The 18,317-nt window shown below is 54.6% G+C and overlaps 2 protein-coding genes and 1 non-coding gene across 8 annotated transcripts in view, besides 6 other annotated features; all 3 read right to left on the bottom strand.

The window, feature by feature from the left end:
- Positions 1-1,901: 1,901 nt before the first annotated feature.
- On the bottom strand, positions 1,902-8,074 carry RPL13 (ribosomal protein L13). 3 transcript variants are annotated; one of them, NM_001243131.1, is made up of 7 exons: positions 8,019-8,074; positions 7,668-7,791; positions 7,363-7,504; positions 7,133-7,153; positions 6,980-6,991; positions 6,340-6,396; positions 1,902-5,847 (listed from the first exon to the last, which is right to left on the bottom strand). In NM_001243131.1, the coding sequence occupies exons 2-7, from the start codon at positions 7,769-7,771 to the stop codon at positions 5,689-5,691; spliced, it is 495 nt and encodes a 164-aa protein (NP_001230060.1). In that variant the 5' UTR covers positions 7,772-7,791; positions 8,019-8,074; the 3' UTR covers positions 1,902-5,688. The 3 variants fall into 3 exon arrangements, with proteins under 3 accessions (NP_001230060.1, NP_150254.1, NP_000968.2); NM_000977.4 differs by having other exon boundaries at positions 4,189-5,847; positions 6,980-7,153; positions 8,019-8,049; NM_033251.2 differs by having other exon boundaries at positions 6,980-7,153; positions 7,668-8,020.
- Positions 2,877-3,620: an enhancer, noted in NCBI's record as "H3K4me1 hESC enhancer chr16:89631519-89632262 (GRCh37/hg19 assembly coordinates)". NCBI's record gives its function as "activates a minimal SCP1, AML or CMV promoter by ChIP-STARR-seq in primed H9 embryonic stem cells {active_cell/tissue: H9 hESC(primed)}" and the evidence as "EXISTENCE:reporter gene assay evidence [ECO:0000049][PMID:30033119]".
- Positions 3,621-4,363: an enhancer, noted in NCBI's record as "H3K4me1 hESC enhancer chr16:89630776-89631518 (GRCh37/hg19 assembly coordinates)". NCBI's record gives its function as "activates a minimal SCP1, AML or CMV promoter by ChIP-STARR-seq in primed H9 embryonic stem cells {active_cell/tissue: H9 hESC(primed)}" and the evidence as "EXISTENCE:reporter gene assay evidence [ECO:0000049][PMID:30033119]".
- On the bottom strand, positions 7,230-7,301 carry SNORD68 (small nucleolar RNA, C/D box 68). Its single transcript, NR_002450.1, has one exon. It is a non-coding gene; the product is annotated as a small nucleolar RNA, C/D box 68 (small nucleolar RNA).
- Positions 7,467-7,516: a silencer, noted in NCBI's record as "silent region_7914". NCBI's record gives its function as "represses an Ori minimal core promoter by ATAC-STARR-seq in GM12878 lymphoblastoid cells {active_cell/tissue: GM12878}" and the evidence as "EXISTENCE:reporter gene assay evidence [ECO:0000049][PMID:35858748]".
- Positions 7,577-7,846: a silencer, noted in NCBI's record as "silent region_7913". NCBI's record gives its function as "represses an Ori minimal core promoter by ATAC-STARR-seq in GM12878 lymphoblastoid cells {active_cell/tissue: GM12878}" and the evidence as "EXISTENCE:reporter gene assay evidence [ECO:0000049][PMID:35858748]".
- Positions 7,957-8,066: an enhancer, noted in NCBI's record as "active region_11417". NCBI's record gives its function as "activates an Ori minimal core promoter by ATAC-STARR-seq in GM12878 lymphoblastoid cells {active_cell/tissue: GM12878}" and the evidence as "EXISTENCE:reporter gene assay evidence [ECO:0000049][PMID:35858748]".
- Positions 9,388-9,607: a silencer, noted in NCBI's record as "fragment chr16:89625532-89625751 (GRCh37/hg19 assembly coordinates)". NCBI's record gives its function as "represses an EF-1alpha promoter that drives an FKBP-Casp9 reporter gene in an ReSE screen in K562 erythroleukemia cells {active_cell/tissue: K562}" and the evidence as "EXISTENCE:reporter gene assay evidence [ECO:0000049][PMID:32094911]".
- Positions 10,963-18,317, bottom strand: part of SPG7 (SPG7 matrix AAA peptidase subunit, paraplegin) — a 49,381-nt gene continuing 42,026 nt past the window's right edge. For 2 of the 4 annotated variants that reach the window (NM_001363850.1, XM_047434537.1), the window contains 6 exons: positions 18,122-18,237; positions 15,596-15,752; positions 14,771-14,937; positions 14,168-14,245; positions 12,646-12,853; positions 10,963-11,844 (listed from right to left, as the gene is read on the bottom strand). In NM_001363850.1, coding sequence (NP_001350779.1) covers positions 11,804-11,844; positions 12,646-12,853; positions 14,168-14,245; positions 14,771-14,937; positions 15,596-15,752; positions 18,122-18,237 — 767 coding nt within the window. In that variant the 3' untranslated portion in view covers positions 10,963-11,803. The remainder of the gene's footprint in view (positions 11,845-12,645; positions 12,854-14,167; positions 14,246-14,770; positions 14,938-15,595; positions 15,753-18,121; positions 18,238-18,317) is intronic. The other 2 variants (XM_047434540.1, NM_003119.4) reach the window with 2 other exon arrangements.

The following is an 18,317-nucleotide window of genomic DNA, read 5'->3' as shown; positions in this document are numbered from 1 at the left end:
ACCCACCATGGCCTCCCAAAGGCTGGGATTACAGGCATGAGCTACTGCACCCGGCCGGCCAAGATGAAGCTGAACATTTGCAGAGACACGCTGAAGGGCAGGGGAGTAGTTTGGTTCAGTTGTGGTCCCAGCTTGGGGCCGTGCCTGGGAGACAGCAGGTGCCCTTAACTTGTAAATTGCTCTTATCTTGTGAACTGCCCCTAACTCGTGAACAAATACCTTCCTCCCTTCATCTCCCTGCCTTTAGGTGACCCTTCCGCCTCCCCTGCGGCCGCCTGTCTGCCCAGCACCTGCTCCCCATCAGCCCCCGCCTCGTTCCTTGTGGCCCACTGCTCTCACGGCGCCTGGTGTGTTGGGCAGCACACCTGCTGAGTGAGCCACACAGAGGGCCCAGGGCCGGGGCTGGTCAGTGCCCTCAGCATCGGCAGTGGGCTTCTAAGCAACTGAAAACTCTTCCGGCCGACTGAGGAAGAGAAAAGGTTAACAGGAAATTCCTCAAACTGCAGGGCAGTGCCCCGAAGCCCACAGTGAGGACAGCGAGGGCACCTGCCTCGCCTGGACTCAGCGCTCACCCGGGACACATGATGTGACTTTTCTGCCCACAGACCTATGGTTCGGCCTCACAGCCATCAACAAAGTGTGGGGCCGGCAGGGCCTGGGCTCAGCTCACCGCAAGGAGCCTGGGCAGTGCGGCAGCTTCTGCAGAGGGAGGGGTTCTGCGTCCCATTCCCCAAGTGGGTTCTGATGTTGGAAAGTCAAAAAGAATGACCAACATCCACTATCAATGCTGAGTTTGCGGTCCATCCCACCACACCATCGCCTGAAAGAACATCTCATTTGCTCTCCGAGTCAAAAGGAAAAGAGCAAGCAGGGAAAGAAATGTTGTCAACAGGTGATAGAAGGCAAAAGTTCCTTAACATATAAAGACCAGCTGCAGTTCAAGAAAATGATGAACATCACAATGAAACACGAGAGGAAGGAGGTAACGGGGCCCCGCGGAGAGACAAGAAGGTCCCAGTAACTGGAGATGCTCAACCCTGTGAGCAAATGAAGACAGCAGCACTCCAGTTCTCCCGCCTGCAGGACTGCGCAGACACAACGCCGTCCGCCCTTCAGAGGCACAGGGAGAAGCCAGGTCCGTCCAGGTGCCTGGCACAGTACGGCACAGGGCACACAGTGTGGCATCAGCTGCTTTCATAAGAAACAGAAGTCCAGATTCTTGTGCTGGAATACGCTTGCACACACCATCTCCGGACAGACCCGGGCGCAGCTGCTGCCAGGGTGTGGGACGTGAAGCGGCTATTTGCTTCGCACTCCTCGCTTCTGTGTAGCTGGACTTTTTTTTTCTTTTTTTTTGCTGATAGCATGTATTTCTTCTATAACTTAAAAAAAAATTTTAAGATACAGAAACCATAAAAATAAATGCAACTAATTATAAACAAAAAACGAATATACGGAGACACACAAAAATAGAGCAAAGAATGCAGGTACCCACTTCTCTGGTTCAAATGAAAAAAACACCAAATAACCTAAAATGACTGTAATTTCTAAATTACAACAGTTCTAATCAGTATTATTTCTTTTCTTTTTTTTTTTTTTTGATACGGGGTCTCTCACTCTGTCACCCAAGATGGAGGGCAGTGGCACAGTCTCGGCTCACTGCAGCCTCGACCTCCCGGGCTCAGGCCATCCTCCCGCCTCAGCCTCCTGAGTAGCTGGGATGATAGGCGCACGCCACCATGACGGCTAATATCTTTTTTTTTTTGGTGGCCATGGGTCTTTGCCATGTTGCCCAGGCTAGTCTCAAACTCCTAGGTTCAAACGATCTGCCGTCCCCGACCTCCTGAAGTGCCGGGATTACAGGCAGGAGCCACTGTACCTGGCCTATTTTTTTCCTTTTTAAATGATTTGCAATTACATATATTTTTAACAAAGCAACTACAGGATAACCAGATTCCAAATGAAACTACGCCTGGATGGGCGAGGTACACGTGTTACAACTCAAAGATGCACACTCGTCTTCCAGGGTCGAAACTACTGCATAATAGTTTTGTTTTTTTTTTTCCTGAGATAGGGTCTCGCTCTGTCATGCAGGCTGGAGGACAGTGGAGCGATCTCGGCTCACTGCAGCCTTAAACTCCTGGGCTCATGCCATCCTCCCCCCTCAGCCTCCCAAAGTTTTGAGACTATAGGCGTGAGCGACCTCACCCAGCCCTGCATGATAATTTTAAAATAGAAAAGGAAAAATACAACTTGGGAAAACTGAAATTCCTAATGTCTAGCCAAAAGAAAAAGCAAAATAAACAATACATGGAGGAAAATTGTGTGCAGCTCCTATCCGCACACGTCTTCCCCTTTAGCTCGGGCCAGAGCAGCCGGTGTGAGAAACGGTGCATCACCGAGGCAGGCGACTCGTGCCTCCTGAGACTATCCCCGATCACCGGGGCAGGAGACTAGCGCCTTCTGAGACTATCCCCGATCACCGGGGCACGTGACTAGCGCCTCCTGAGACTATCCCCGATCAGTTCTGCAGGCGCCGGAGCGCGCCTGGCCCCATGACCCCCGTGGGCACTGCTGGCAAAGCCCCACCCACTGTGGGAGGCTGCCCCAGAGATGAACCTGCCGTAAAACCAACGCTTCTACAAAAGGCCACGGGCACCACAGAGCCAGCCCGTGCTCCCCGGGGGCGACAGGCTGAATAGGAAATGCTCACACCCCGAAGGAATCCTGCAAAACGGAATGAGGAGCCTGGGCGCACCTGCACTTCCTCCACCGGGCAGCAGACCACAAGCTCGTGGCACACAGGTCAGTTTCTCAGGCTTCACAGCTTGGCTGCCCTCCCTGGGACGGCTCACATGGACGAAATCAAGGTGTTCCCAGAGCCGCTTTGCCTGAGGTGCGGTGGGGGCCCTTCCTCTCAGCTCCCAGTGACCCACGCCATGGCAGCTGCCCCTCAGGGCCGGCGGAACCTGTCTGCGGCCTGGCACAGAGGGCTGGTTCCAGCCCGGGTTCCACAGCGCCCCCTAGGTCAGGCCCACACATCACAACTGAAAAGCCACTTCCTAGTCAGGACGGCCCCACTCAGGGATGGCCACACTCGGGCACGGCCCACACTCAGGCACTTGTCCCCACCAGCGGGGTATCCTGGGCCGACAGGTGCTGAATCAGGCGGTCCCCAGGGACTAAGTTAAAACAAAGGGCCCCTTTGCATCTGGTGGCAGAGTCTTTCTTGGAGCAGACAGGCCCGTACCTGGATCAGGAGATCTTGCTCCAGCTACAAGGACTGAGTGTCAGCAGGGAGGCTGCCTCACCCACCTGCCCAGCCCCCCAGCTATCCTGCAGAAGCCTTCCTCAGCCCCAGGAAGGGCAGAGCCGCACTAGCTGCATTTCAGGTAGGGGAGCAGCAGGCAGCAGGCAGCCCGGCCCAGCCCAGCCCAGCCCAGCCCACATCCATGACCCTCACCAAACTCACAATGTCCCAGCGCAACCTAGAAAAATGACCTCTTGCTAAGAGCACCGGCCAACAGCAGGGCCCCAGACAACAGAGAAAGCCCATCCTCTCCTGTTAGGGCTCTTAATAGATTAAGCAAACGGAGAGAACGTAAGGTTAGCAACACAGCCCTGGAGACTGTGACTTTCAGTGAAATGAGGAGGGGACTCTGGCAGGTTCAGTGCAGACTACCCCGCCCCAGGTGCACAGATGATACCTGAACCCTGACTTCCCGTCAAGTCGGCTGGTAGGAGGGCCCCCGGAACACGCAGATCAGAGTGCTTTTGTCCCACAGTAAAAACAGCAAGGCGGTGTGATGGGGCACAGACCTCTGCTCCATTCACGTCACCACATGGCATTACCTACTCCAGGTGCGGCCCCGCAGGCAGCAGGAAAGGCCCTTCCCCTAGTGCGGTGTGGGCAGGGAGGAAGCAGGCTGGAGGGCAGAGCGCTGGAGACCCCTGCACCCCCCACGGCCAGTCTTCAGCCAGGTTGGAATCCACCAGAAATCTTCAGGCCCTCTCACGTGAGAGGGATTCGAGCCTAGGCTCAAGCTTCCAACCATCCACCTTGTACAACTTTTTTTGAGACTGAGTCTCGCTGTCACCCAGGCTGGAGCACAGTGGTGCAGCTCGGCTCACTGCAATCTCTGCCTCCTGGGTTCAAGCCTACCAAGTAGCTGGGATTACAGGCGTGTGTCACCACTCAGCTAATTTTTGTATTTTCAGTAGAGATGAGGTTTCACCATCAGGTGATCCACCCGCCTCGGCCTCCCAGTGTTAGGATTACAGGCGTGAGCCACTGCACCCGGCCCACCTTAACTTTACATAGGACAAGAGTCCCAAACATACAAACTGATCACGAAGTTAACATATACACCTCAGACAGGAAACTGGTAGCCAACAGCCTGCAAGTCATCTACTAGATGTTTAGATGTTTCCAAACAAGCAAGGTGTCATCGTGTATCAAGTGTGGCTGTGAGTGCAGCAGCAGAGGTAGCAGCATCACCTATTTCCACGCCAGTAACAGCTCCCTGGGTGCCTCAATACCGGCACCCGGCAGAGGCATGTAGACAAAACAGAATCTGACTCGGTCCCTGAAGCTGCTTCTCTGGGGTTGTCATGGCCATAGCTGCCAAGGAGAGCAGGTGCTGCTGTGAGCTGGTAGGACTAGGGCAGGCTGTGTCTGAGCACTGCACGAGAAACCATGCTGCCCTCGGACACAGAAGACATGGGGATGCCAGCTCAGACCAGGGCACCCTGGCACTCTCTCTGGCTGCCTCTTGTCCATGAAGCAAGAACAATGGCTTTAGAATGTTTTTGTTTAACAGGAGAGGCCGACACTTGGCAGGGCCATCTCATACCTTGGTGTCTGGGTGAAGAAGCCCATTGAAGGAAGGGTTAATCAGAGCAAGAGGACCATGGTTACCGGGCACAACAAGCTTAAGAATGACGCCCCAAAGTCCAAGATGCTACATTAACTAGAAACTGCTTTGCTTAAAAAAGGCAACTCTAGGTTGGGTGCAGGGTCTCGTGCCTATAAACCCCTCTACTTGGGAGGCTGAGGGAGGACTGCTTGAGGCCATGAGTTCAAGACTGCAGTGAGCCATGATTGTGGCACTGTACTCCAGCCTGGGTGCCGAAGACCCTGTCTCTTTTTTTTTTTTTGAGACAGTCTCACTGTTGCCCAGGCTAGAGTGCAGTGGCGTGATCCTGGCTCAGTGCAGCCTCTGCCTCCTGGGTTAAGTGATCCCTCACCTCTGCCTCCCAGGAGCTGCAACTACAAGTGTGCAGCACCAAGCATGGCTGATTTCTTTATTTTTAGTAGTTCTGACATGTTGGCCAGGCTGGTCTTGAACTCCCAGCCAACCTCAAAGTGCTGGGATTACAGCTGTGAGCACCAGCCCAACCTTGCCTCTTTAAAAAGAAAAAACACAAGTCCACTCTGAAGTCAGCCTCTGTAACCTCCCCACAAGAAAACCGTTTTACATCAGTCACTAACCAAACAACCAACAGTGCTTCAACACAGAAAGTAAAGCATTATCCAGGGCTTGGACTGTCTTTCAAGAAAGCCCCAAATCCCCTGGCAGGAGGAAGTCACAGCAGTGAAGCCCCATCCCAGGCCCAGTTGTTCCCACGAAACACACCACGTGGAGACCCAGCATGACTGCCGACTGATTCCAAGTCCCCAGGAGGGCTTTATTTTTTCTTTTCAACATCCTGTTCTGCGGCTTCCTTGGCTCTTTTTGCCCGTATGCCGAAGAGCCGGGCGTTGGCACGGGCCATACGGAGACTAGCGAAGGCTTTGAAATTCTTCTCTTCCTCAGTGATGACTCGAGCTTTCTCCTTCTTATAGACCTAGAAGAGAAAGACAGGTTGTTAAACCCACATGCACCAAAGGGCAAGGGAACAACCAAGCGTCAGGAGAACCTGGAGGACCTCCCGGGGATTGGGGGTCAGGTTCGCTGCCATAAGTACTGCTGAAAAGCAACCCTGAGTCAATCACCTTCCCTGGGATTTAAAAAAAAAAAGAAAAACCCTCCCTGAGCTGGACATGGCGGCTCAAGCCTGTAAACCCAGCAATTCAAAACCAATGTAAGCAGCATAGAGAAACTCTCTTTCCAACAACAACAAAAAAACACAAAACAAACAAAAATACTTCCCAATGTATGGCTTCATGGTTGCAAGAAGTAAAAACTAAGAAGAAATGTTCCTTTCCGCAAACCTCCACACCCACAACTGCCACTATTAACGTTCTTAAGCCTGACCCCCATCACCCGCATCTCAGATACCCACGTGTTCACCCACTGATCTCGTCTGAAGCCTGGATTTGAGTAAGTGTTCACTTACGTTCCGGACGGGCATGACCGGTCCGGTCAGCTGGGTGGCCAGTTTCAGTTCTTCAGCCTGTTGGTGAATGAGAAGAGTTAAGTGGGGTTGGCCGCACTGCTGCAAGGACTCCACCCTCACCTGGCCCCAAACTTTCCCCTGGGGATTCCGTGTTCAGGACCAGTGTCTGAGCCTTTTCTACAACACACTTTGTGGCCCCAATGTTAAGAACAGTCCTTATTAGTTAGGTGACTATATCTTACTGAGTTGACGCAACACGCACGAGACAGTTATCTACCTGTGAACCACGGGCGGGGCAGAGAAAACTGTTCCCTAATTTAACTACCCGGAAACGTATACAATGGACTCTTTATCAACCTTATCCTACAAGGTCTTTCTAGAAATATTTTGGAATACGAAGCATTTTAGGGAGAGCAACGTCAATGGAAAAAGCTGCCTCCAAGTCACACAGCCTTGCCATGTCCATTAAGGTTATCTCTGCGGAAACGCACAGGTGAACCTTAGCAGTCCCGCTTAGCTCATCACCCACAATGTTTTGGTTCTTCTCACCCCAGCAAGACCCAGGGACCGGTGTCACTGATAAAGGAGCCAAGCCTCACTGTCCCCGCGCACCAGGACGGCCAGAGAGCCGTGTACTCACAGAACTGTCTCCCTTCTTGGGGGCCGAGGGCTTCCTGGGGAAGAGGATGAGTTTGGAGCGGTACTCCTTCAGCCGCTGCACGTTGGCCTGCAGGGACTCCGTGGACTTGTTCCGCCTCCTCGGATCCACAGAAATGCCGATGGTCCGGGCCACCTTCTTGTGAATGCCGGCCACCTGCCCCAGAACCAGAGAGAGATGGAGACAGGCCCGGGCTTTCTCCAGCCCCGAGGCCTGGATGAAAAGCCTCAGCAATCAGATGGAAAAGGGTTCAAATGTGCTTTCATCAAGGCCGTACAGCGATTCCGGAGAATGTCATCACGCGACTGAGGCCAACAGAGGGGACTTCGGGGCCTTCCTGACACCGCAGCGCTGCCAGTACTCACCCTGAGCTCCTCCAGGCTGAAGCCGCGGCCGGCGCGCACCTTCGTGTGGTACCGAACCGTGGGGCAGCGCACGATGGGCCGGATGGGACCCGACGCGGGGCGCGGGGCGATGCGGCGCGCCTTGGCTTGCCGGGCCTTACGTCTGGTGGAGAGAAGCGCAGCGGCGGTCACCCTTGCCTAAGGCCGCCAGGCCAGCGCTCCGCGACGGTTGCAGACAGCGCCCCCCGCCCTGGCATCGGCCACCCGCAAGCCAAGGCGCAGCCGCGGGCACGAGCCCCAGGGGCAGCCCCGAGCGCAGGGCTCACCTGCGGATCTTACGGGCCGGCTGGTTGAACCACGTGGCCACGCGCCGCTGCCAGTCCTTGTGGAAGTGGGGCTTCAAGACCATGCCATTCCGGCTGGGCGCCATGGCTGCCTACGGCCCTGCGGCTGCGGACGAGAGGGGAGCGAGTGAGAGGCCGGACCCCGGGCGCGCGCACCCCCCCGGGCCTCCGCCCCGAACCCTCCAGACTGGGCCGTCCGGCCGCGCCTAGAGCCCGGGCAGCGGCCGAACGCTGTCTGCGAAGAAGAAGGGGCCCATCCACTCCCGCGTTGGCTGAAGCGCCAGGCCGATGGCGCTGGATGATGCCCAAAGGCCAGGACCCAGTCTCCCTCACCTCCTGCGCAGGAAAACAGCCGAGCGGAAAGGAAGCGGCCCCGCAATGCACTCTGGGATGATAGCAGGGCCGGCCAACCAGAAGCGCCGGGCGCTCTGACCAATCAGAGCCCCGAAAGGAGGAACTGACGTCGCCGCGGCTCTCCCGGCAGCCCTAGGGCCGCCGTCGCAGACATGTTGCCGCTGAGAATGCGGCGGGGCGGCCGTGATTCCTGGGCCCTGAGTAACCGACGGCCGGACTTGCTTGACGTCCGCCGTTACTGCCCCGGCGCTTCAGCCGCTGCGCGGGCCGCGGCCGAGTCCTGTCTTGCGGGCTAACGCGCGCGAGTCCGGTATCTGGGCCGACGGCGAACGGGCGACGCCCGAGGAATTCTGTTTGTTCACATTTGTGAGACACGTTTGCAGCGCAAAGGCAGAAAAACTTCAGTGACATCCGAGTTTGCGCAACCTAAGGCCTTCGTCCTTGTCGTTCCAGCGTTTATTCTCCTCCCATCCATTTAGAACATTTGTGGTTTTTTTTTTTGTTTTTTTTTTTTGGAGACGGAGTCTCGCTCCGTCGCCCAGGCTGGAGTGCAATGGCGCGATCTCGGCTCACTGCAGCCTCCGCGTCCCAGGTTCAAGCAATTCTGCCTCAGCCTCCCGAGTAGCTGGGATTACAGGCGCCCGCCGCCACACCCTGCTAATTTTTGGTATTTTAGTAGACGGAGTTACTGTTGGCCTCTGTCGCTTTCCCTTGGCCCAGGATTAGGTGACTTCTCTAAGGTCAGGGGTACCCGACTGAAAATGTCACACTCTGACCTGCTGTGCCTACTGCCTTCCTTCACAAAGAAAAGCATCAACAAAAAGCCATCTCTTCTCTAGTATAAGTCTGTGAAGGCACCATCCATCTTACTGCTACCTGGAAACCTTTAAATCCCAATAACCCTCTTTCTTCCCTACCCTCACCCAATCACCACGCTTCCTCCTGGTAAAACTTATTATTATTTTTTTTTTTTGAGACGGAGTCTCCCTCTGTTGCCCAGGCTGGAGTTCAGTGGTGCGATCTCTGTTCACTGCAAGTTCTGCCTCCCGGGTTCACGCCATTCTCCTGCCTCTGCCTCCCAAGTAGCTGGGACTACAGGCGCCCACCATCACGCCCAGCTGATTTTTTGTATTTTTAGTACAGACGGGGTTTCACTGTGTTAGCCAGGATGGTCTCGATCTCCTGACCTCGCGATCCGCCCGCCTGGGCCTCCCAAAGTGCTGGGATTACAGGCGTGAGCCACCGTGCCTGGCCAACGTAATCCACATTTTAAGAATTTCACAGTTCCAGCACTTTGGGAGGCTGAGGTGGGCGGATCAGCCGAGGTCAAGAGTTTGAGATCACCCTGGCTAAGATGGTGAAACCCTGTCTCTACTAAAAATACAAAAAAGCTGGGCGTGGTGGCGCATGCCTGTAATCCTAGCTACTTAGGAGGCTGAGTCACCAGAATTGCTTGAACTGGGGAGGCAGAGGTTGCAGTGAGCCAAGATCACATTACTGCACTCTAGCCTGGGCAACAGAGCAAGACTCAGTCTCAAAAAGAAAAAAAAGTATTTCACAGGCCAGGCACGGTGGCTCATGCCTGTAAATCCCAGCACTTTGGGAGGCCGAGGCGGGTGGATCACCTGAGGTCAGGAGTTGGAGACCGGCCTAGCCAACATGGCAAAATCCCGCCTCTACTAAAAATACAAAAATTAGCCATGTGTGGTTGTGTACACCTGTAATCCTAGCTACTCCAGAGAGTAGGACAGGGGAATCACTTGAACCCAGGAGGCAGAGGTTACAGTGAGTCGAGACTGCACCACTGCACTCCAGCCTGGGTGACAGAGTTAAGCCTCCGTCTCAAAAATGAAAAATTTAAGAGCTGGGCGTGCTGGCTCACACCTGTAATCCCAGCATTTTGGGAGCCCAAGGCAGGCAGATCACGAGGTCAGGAGATCGAGACCATCCTGGCTAACATGGTGAAACCCCGACTCTACTAAAAATACAAAAAATTAGCCGGGCGTGGTGGCAGGCGCCTGTGGTCCCACCTACTTGGGAGGCTGAGGCAGGAGAATGGCGTGAACCCGGGAGGCGGAGGTTGCACTGACCCAAGATCGTGCCACTGCACTCCAGCCTGGACTACAGAGCAAGATTCCATCTCCAAAAACAAATAATAATTAAAAAATAATAAATTAATTTCACAAAAGGCTTGGCACAGTGGCTCACACCTGTAATCCCAACACATTGGGAGGCCAAGGCAGGAGGATCACTTGAACTCAGAAATTCGAGTCTAGCCCTGTCTCTACAAAAAGTACAAAAATTAGTCGGGCATAATGGTGCGTGCCTGCGGTCCCAGCTACTTGGGAGGCTGAGTCAGGAGGATTGCTTGAGCCCAGAAGATCGAGGCTGCAGTGAGCCGAGATGGCGCCACTGCACTCTAGCCTGGGCGACAGAGCAAGACTCTGCCAAAAACCAACACAACAGCAAAAAAAAAACAATTACCGAGGACACTACCCTTGGCTACACCAGCTAAAACCCTCCCATCGATGTGCTGGTCTTTGGATTTGGAGAACTGGGGCAAAGGTCAAGGCATCTCTCAGAGATGCCACCCTCGGGTGTGTGACTGCACCTGTGGCTGCCTCCTTACTGCTCCGCCAGCGTTTCAGTGTTGCAGCAACAAGAGGACAATCCACTCACGTCACTGCACCACAGGGAGGGCAGAAGCAAGGGGGCCGGAGTGGGAGCCGCATGCCCCGGAACTCAGGGCCAGGGTGTCCTGGGTCGTCTTCTATCCCTACGGGGTCCAGGCCCCAGATTCCTACAGAAGGAGTTTTTCACTTAGTCCCTGCATTACTCAAATTATAAACTGAAACCACAAGACCCTGTGATCCAGGGCAAGCCCACCAGCTCCTCTGCATTAGAGCTGGCCAGACAATGCAAATGTAGATTTTCCAACTACACAGTTTATTAGTAAAGTATCTCAACAATTCTCAGAGCAGTAAAAACCAAGGCATCCCCAACACTGCATGCGTGACTAGACCAGCAAGAAGTCCTCAACTTGCACCAGTCCACATGGCAGCAGGGGGCAGTGGTGAGTCCTCCGGAGCCCAGTGCCTGGGCCTGACTGGCCCCATTGATGAGTGAGCTGGATGACAGGGCCGCTGGAGATAGGACAATCGGCTCACAGGGTCCTTTCATGTCCGATCCCCTTAGCATTCCGAGGGAGCCACAGGAACTGGGGCGGTCGTGCAAGCGTCGGCATGAACAGGGGTCTGTTTGGAGTCTGAATGCTCTGCTGCCTCTGGGTGGCCTCAGCCACACTGGGAACGACTGTCTATAACCCTGGGAACTCGAAGTGTTCCATGCTCACTCGGGAAGCACTGATAACCTTCCCCATAGGGGAAACGACTCACAAACACAGGACTCCGTCAGTAGTTTCTGCAGAGAAACTTAAAATCATGAAAAGGGTCATCAATCAACAGATCTCAGAAGTCACTGTGCAGGGACTACTGAGGGCCGCGAGAGGAAGTGCAAACCTCAGCTGAAAAGCAACTCAGGGTGGCTGAGTGAGCCCTCACTTCCCGGACCACCCGCACGTGCAGCCAACACCTCCCAACTACTTGGGCCAAGTCGGCTCTTCGCCTCCAAGTGGAGGCTGCTGGGTCTCTTCGGTCTCCTCCTCGCCCAAGTCCTGTTTCTCCCTCTGGGCGTCGATCCACCTCTGCGGTGCGATCATTTTCTTCGGCCCATGGGGCGGCGGGCCAATGAGAGCCTCAATGTCCTCATAGTTTATCACTTCCTTTTCCAGAAGGGCGTTTGCCAGCTAGAAAGAACAGGCATAGCAGTGTGTGAGTCCCCAGGGCAGACAGAGCATCTCTATGTCCTGGGGAGGTGGCAAGAGGCGTGAGGGCCTGTCTGTGTGCAGGACACCCAGGACAGGCCACTTTCCCAGGGAAGCGGAGGCACGGAGGCAGCTCCGAAAGAAGAATCACCCCCATCTCAACCTCATAAATGATTTTCCGGCGGCCAGCCTCATTAATTTTTCTACTTCTATTCAAAATCTTGGCTTATTTTTGGCAACTGCAATTTCTTTCACCAAACAAGACGTGTGTGTCTACAGGGAAGGAGATGGGTAAAATGCTGAACCCTCCTGATTGAGGAGAGCAGCACTGGGAGAAGGAATCTGAGGCGAAGTTGTGTGAGCTGGGACCTCTCAAGTTGGGGAAGTGAATTTCTGCCATTCTAGGTGGGATCCTGGAAAACACTTGAGACACCGACTGTCCTGTGCCGGTGGACCTGCCCCTGGGGTGGCCTGGCCAGACCACAGAAAACACTGCCACAGCCACATTTCACTGGTTTCTGTGAAGGCAGAACTCTTCCAGATTTTTTGTTGTTGTTGTTGTTAATTACCTGCTCCTTTCCTCACTCTTCCAGATTTTCTAAAGAAAATGGTAACCCCTGAAGCTAGGGTGATTTACCTGTGGCTGTATTGCAAGAGACAAACACTTCCTCTCTAGGGCTGGTGTGGGATTTTACTAAGTTCTGCAACCCACTGAGTGTGTGAGTAGCTGACAGTTCATACACGGGGCAGACACACCACTCCTCAGCCAGTGAGAAGCCTTGCCTGCAGCTTTGCTCCCGTTGTGGCTCCCACTGTGATGTGCCCGAGCTCTGCAGAGCTGCTTTGTCAACCGTGATGAGCATGGGTCCACAGGCAGGCCTGCTTCAGCCGGGGACGGCACCGCCCACACCTGCCCAGAGGCGGCTGCTGCTGGCTGGGGACGACAGTCTAAGGGCCCCAAACACGATCCCCACGTGACACACAGTGCTCGCTTGAAAGACACAAGGGGAGGCTGAAGAAACAACTACCTATCCACTGCCTACCCATCTGTTCACAACATGGGACAAAGAGCCGTGCACCTCTCCTGAGTTCTAAGCAGCAGTTACCAAACCCAGGGACAAAAACGTTCACTCCAGCTCTGCCCACTGTGAGAAACACATCAGACAATCGCAACTGAGGAACGTCCTACAAAACATGAGACCAATCCTCAAAACTGCCAGAGCCCTCAAAACAAGGGAGGTCTGAGGAACTGTCACCCCAGAGGAGCCTAAGAAGATGGGCGATCAAACGCCATGTGGACTCCCAAGACCGGAAAGGACACTGGGGAGACTCAGCACATCTGAATCACGTGTGGACCCAACACCGCGGGTCGGCGGGGGCTCCTCAGGTGGGAGGACTGCCCCATGGGGGCCTCCACGGGAGCGAGGCAGGGTGGCAGGGAGCTCTCTGCACCGCGCCTGCAACTTTTCTACATCTAACACTATAATCAGCGTGGGGCTGTGGCTCACGCCTGTAATCCCAACACTTGGGGAGGCCGAGGCAGGCGGATCACCTGAGGTCAGGAGTTCAAGACCAGCCTGGCCAATGTGGTAAAACCCCACCTCTACTAAAAATACAAAAATTAGCTGGGCATGGTGACGCGTGCCTGTAATCCCAGACACTTGGGAGGCTGAGACAGGAGAATGCTTGAACTGGGGAGGTGGAGGTGGCAGTAAGCTGAGATTGCACCACTGCACTCCAGCCTCGTGACAGAGAGAGACTCCATCTCAAAAAAAAAAAAAAAAGAAAAGCCGAGTGTGTTGGTGCATGCCTGCAGTCGCAGCTACTCGGGAGGCTGAGGCAGGAGAATCACTGGAACCCGGGAGGCAGAGGTTGCAGTGAGCCAAGATGTCGCCATCGCACTCCAGCCTGGGTGACAGAGCAAGACTTTGTCTCAAAAAAAAAAAGAAAAAAAAATTCCTACTCTAAAATTAAAGCTTTGTTTTAAAAAAATGTTCAAGAAAAAAGTGTAAGACTTGGGAAAAGATTAAACAAAACTGACAAAACATTGGTAATTGCTAATGGCAGGAAGAGGCACAGGAGACTGTGGCAGCCTTCTTTCTACCTCGGGGGAACACACTTGACGAGTTCAGGATAAAAAGTATGGAACACGTAAGTTTCAGTTGAGCTGGGTAGAATTCACATCGGTCAGAGTGTTCTCTGTACTCTGTGTGCCTTGGAAATACTTCACGAGAGGGGTGGGGACCGTGGGTGCTGTGTGGACACTGTGTGACGCCGTAGCCCCCACGCCTGGCCAGGGCCTCACCGCCTGCAACTTGTCCAGGTTGTCCTGCAGCACCTTCTCGGTGTGTCTGTAGGCCTTGGCCACCAGCAGTCTTGCTTCCTGTGAGTGGAGGGAACTGTGTCAGGGGCAAGGCTGGCCGCCTGGCTCCAGCACCAAAGCACAGAAAAGAAATGGCAGACTGGGAACACGGCCTTTCCCCTCCCAGGAGGAACAGGACTCCTCAGCCGACAGGTGGTCTCCTGCCCCTGTGACCAGTGCCAGGAAAGCAGGGCTCCGCATGCCAGCCCACCCACCCACACCCACCCACAGCTGCCTCACAGGCACACATCGGCCCTTCCTGGCCCAGTCTGAAGGACATGTGGGCCCTGGGTCTATTGCTCGGTGTATTTATTTGATATTCTTCCCAGATTCACATCTATAATTTCATTAGGAGCATCTATGTCCTCATTTGAGAAGAAAATACTCCACAGGTGGGAACTACAGCAGAGCCCAGAAGGAAGAAACCCAGGTGGGGCCTGCAGCTGAGCTCCGCTGGGGCGGCCGTGGGCGACCCTTGTGTGGTAGACCCAGGGACTCCCTCCCCGGGGAGCACAGAGGGCAGCGGTGTGGCCAGAGCCGACTCACATGGTCCATCATCTGCTGCAGGCCTTGGCTGAAGGGGCGCCGCCCGATGCCCATGAGGCCCTCCTGCGCCTCAGGGAAGGAGATGGGCCCGATGCCAGGTGCCATCCCAAACTGCTTCACCATGGAGTAGGCGATGCGGGTGACCTTCCTCAGGTCGTCCTGTGCCCCTGGAGGGCGGGGTCGAGACAGAGGCATCCTCAGCACTGCAGGCGCAGAGCAGTGCTGGGCCCCAGGTGTCCCGGTCAGAGCACTGAGGCAGCACCACCTCCATCCCCTTCCTCCCGAGGACCCACCGTGAAGCTGGACAGTGAGGACGTTGGCACCTCACCACTGTTCCTTAAGAGAGTCTTAAAACTTTCCGAAATGCTCTTTTATTTGGAAATCTAGAACCCGGGGGCATACTGGAGCTCACTGCATGGCAGTTCTCAAGCACAAGCCCAGGCCTATGCGAGGCAAACCCATGGACCTGGAGCCCAGGGGCCCCCGGGACCCTCCTTCAGCTCTCTGGATATCCCAGTGCAGTAATGGCTTCAGAACAATGAAGCCGCTTCAATTTTATTCCGTTTCCTGTAGCCATTACCAACAATTAACCAATTAAATGTGTCTAGAGTTGGCATATAGGTTAAGTTTTTGTCCAATTAAATTATCTAAGAAGTCTTGCTTAGCTCCAACTCTCTTATGACCACAACTTATCTTTTACAAAATACTTAATAAATTCAAAGCTACGTCTACACCAGATTCACCCCATGGCATGCACTGGAACAGAAGGAGTCATGCAGGGAAAAGCGCTCTGAAACCTCCAGGGCCCGCGCCGCTGCTCCTCACCAGAAGTGACCTCGTTGAAGGACAGTGCTTCCGAGGCCCGTCCTCCCAGGGCCATGCACATCCGCTCAAACAGCTGCTCCTTGGTGAAGAGGTGCTGGTCTCTGGGGAGCATCTGAGCAAAGCCCAGGGCGGCGTTTGTCCGAGGGGTTATGGAGACCTGGCACAAGGTCAAGATGACCCAGGTCAGTAGGCAGGATGCGTGGGCTTTGAGGAGGAAGGTGTGGGACTAAGAGGTCTCCGTCATTAAAGCGTCTCAAAGCAGGAAGGCAAATGTGCAGCATCCTCTACAACAACAGGGGATCCTAACACTCTAGATGGCCAGCCCAGAGACAGCAGCGTTCCCACCACAGGTGCCTGTTCACACACTGCCGGGAAGTGTCTTCTCATACATGACTAGACAGGCAGGGAGTCAAGAAGACAAGGCCCGTAGAAGACAGCTGAGAGGCGAAGGACAAGTTTCACCCCCGATGGCCGCTGCGCTGACCCCTCACACCAGCGACAGCTACTGAGGGTTCAGAGCAATGAGAACCCCACGATGCTGAGGCAGCAGAGGCTGTCCTCACCTCTGCTGCTCCCCCACAGCCCCACATCAGGTGTGCAAGGAGGTGGCGCGGGGCAACGAGCTAACTCGACAACACGGAACCGCTGAGTGGGAGACGGACGGAGACGGGGCAGGGGCTGGCCCAGCTGCTGCTTCTGAGAATTGTGGCGGCGAGATGGCCACATCCAAGTGCTCTGAGAATCCCGAGGACGCTTAATTTAAAATCTAAAACTAGGCTGGGCGGGGTCGCTCACATCTGTGATCTCGGTACTTTGGGAGTTAGAGGTGGGCAGATTGCATGAGCCCAGGAGTTCGAGACTAGCCTGGGCAACATAACGAGACCCCTTCGCTACAAAAAATATAAAAATCACTCGAGCCACCAGTGGGGCATGCCTGTAGTCCCAGCTATGCAGGAGGCTGAGGTAGGAGGATCGTGTGAGCCCGGAAGGTCGAGGCTGCAGTGAGCTGTGATCGCACCACTGGACTCCGGTCTGGGCAACAGAGAGAGAGACCCTGTCTCAAAACAAAAAGAAGCTCTAAATAACGGCTGCAGTGATGATTGCATTAATGACCAAAACCATAACAGCCAATTCACAACCTTTTCCTGGCAGGACACTGAGCCTTGGGAAAGAGACTCACTTTTTCATTGTGACTATCTGACTTTTGCCCATCAAATACAGTAAAAATTCTTTTTTTTTCCCTTTGAGAGACAGTCTTGCTCTGTCACCCAGGCTGGAGTACAGTGGCACAGTCTTGGCTCACTGCAGACTCTGCCTCCCGGGTTTAAGCGATTCTTGTGCCTCTACCTCTCAAGTGGCTAGGGTTACAGGTACGCACCACCACGCCCAGCTAATTCTTTTGTATTTTTGGTAGAGATGGGGTTTCACCAGGTTGGCCAGGCTGGTCTCGAACTCCTGACCTCAAGTGATCTGCCCGCCTTGGCCTCCCAAAGTCCCTGCATTAATTTTGATTTCTTGACATACCGTGTTAAAACGTCGTGTTCACTGCTGAGTTTTTTAGTGTCCCATAAATGGGACCCCCAGCTGAGTGTCCACTCGCCCCACAGTGGGCCTAGCTCTGGTCCCATGACTGTGGTGCACATCGCCAAGGAGCAGCACGGATCTGGTCCCCAAACGCTGCCTCAGCCCTGCTGAGACCCTGGGATGGGCAGGACGCTCTCTGATTAACACGCAACTTTGCTACAACTCACACCTGAGAACCAATCACGGAGACCAGCACTGACAAACCAAGCTGGCAACTGCTACAGCGTATGCATTGTTTGCAGTGAACCCTGAGGTAGGAACACAGCACTGCCGCCTTCTCAGGTGAGCCTCAAACCTGCACGGCTTCCTGGGGCTCCACTGTAAAGACGGCACCTGCGTTCCGAGTAGAGACCTCCTCTTGGCAGCACTCGGACTCCCGGTGGTGGAGCCACGTCTTAGAGAAGCTGTAACATCACCATTTGGTAAGAATAAATGTCCATCGAGTTCACAGCTGCCTACAAGAGTAGTTTTTTGTTTGTTTGTTTGAAGTAGAGACAGTTTTGCCCTGTTGGCCAGGCTGGTCTTGAACTCCTGACCTCAGGTGATCCACCATGCCCAGCCTAGAATAGTATTTTTTAAATGTACACTCAACTCACTTCTTTCCAATGTTAGGAGTCATTTGGGGTGGACAGGCAAAGGCAGCGAAACCCCATTGCATGGTGTAACCTTCCACGAGTCACCCCAGTAGCAGCACCATGCTCCGATGTGACACAGCCCACTCCTGCCTCCCACGTCCGAGTTCCCGCCCATCAGTCGCCACCCACCCTGCTCCATGGATCATGACAGTGGCAGGCTTTCCTCTCACATGACCTACAGACACAGGCGGGACTCCCCAGTCAGCTACAGACACAGGCGGGACTCCCCAGTCAGCTACAGACACAGGCGGGACTCCCCACCCACCTTTGGCCAAGGCCCGTGGAGCCGGCACCTGCCAAGACCCACCTTCATCACGGCCTCCGTGTGCTCCAGCATCCAGCCCACCAAGGCGTGGCCCGACTCATGAAACGCAACCACTTTCTGTTCTTCCTTGGACAGGATCTTGCTCTTTTTGGCAGTCCCTGAAAGAATGCCGGGGTATGAGTTGGGCGCGGTGGCTCACGCCTGTAATCCCAGCGCTGTGGGAGGCCAAGGCGGGCGG

The sequence above is a fragment of the Homo sapiens genome, chromosome 16 (genome assembly GCF_000001405.40).
Source record: "Homo sapiens chromosome 16, GRCh38.p14 Primary Assembly".
NCBI classification, from domain to species: Eukaryota; Metazoa; Chordata; class Mammalia; order Primates; family Hominidae; genus Homo; species Homo sapiens.
This window is presented reverse-complemented; position numbering and strand designations above follow the sequence as displayed.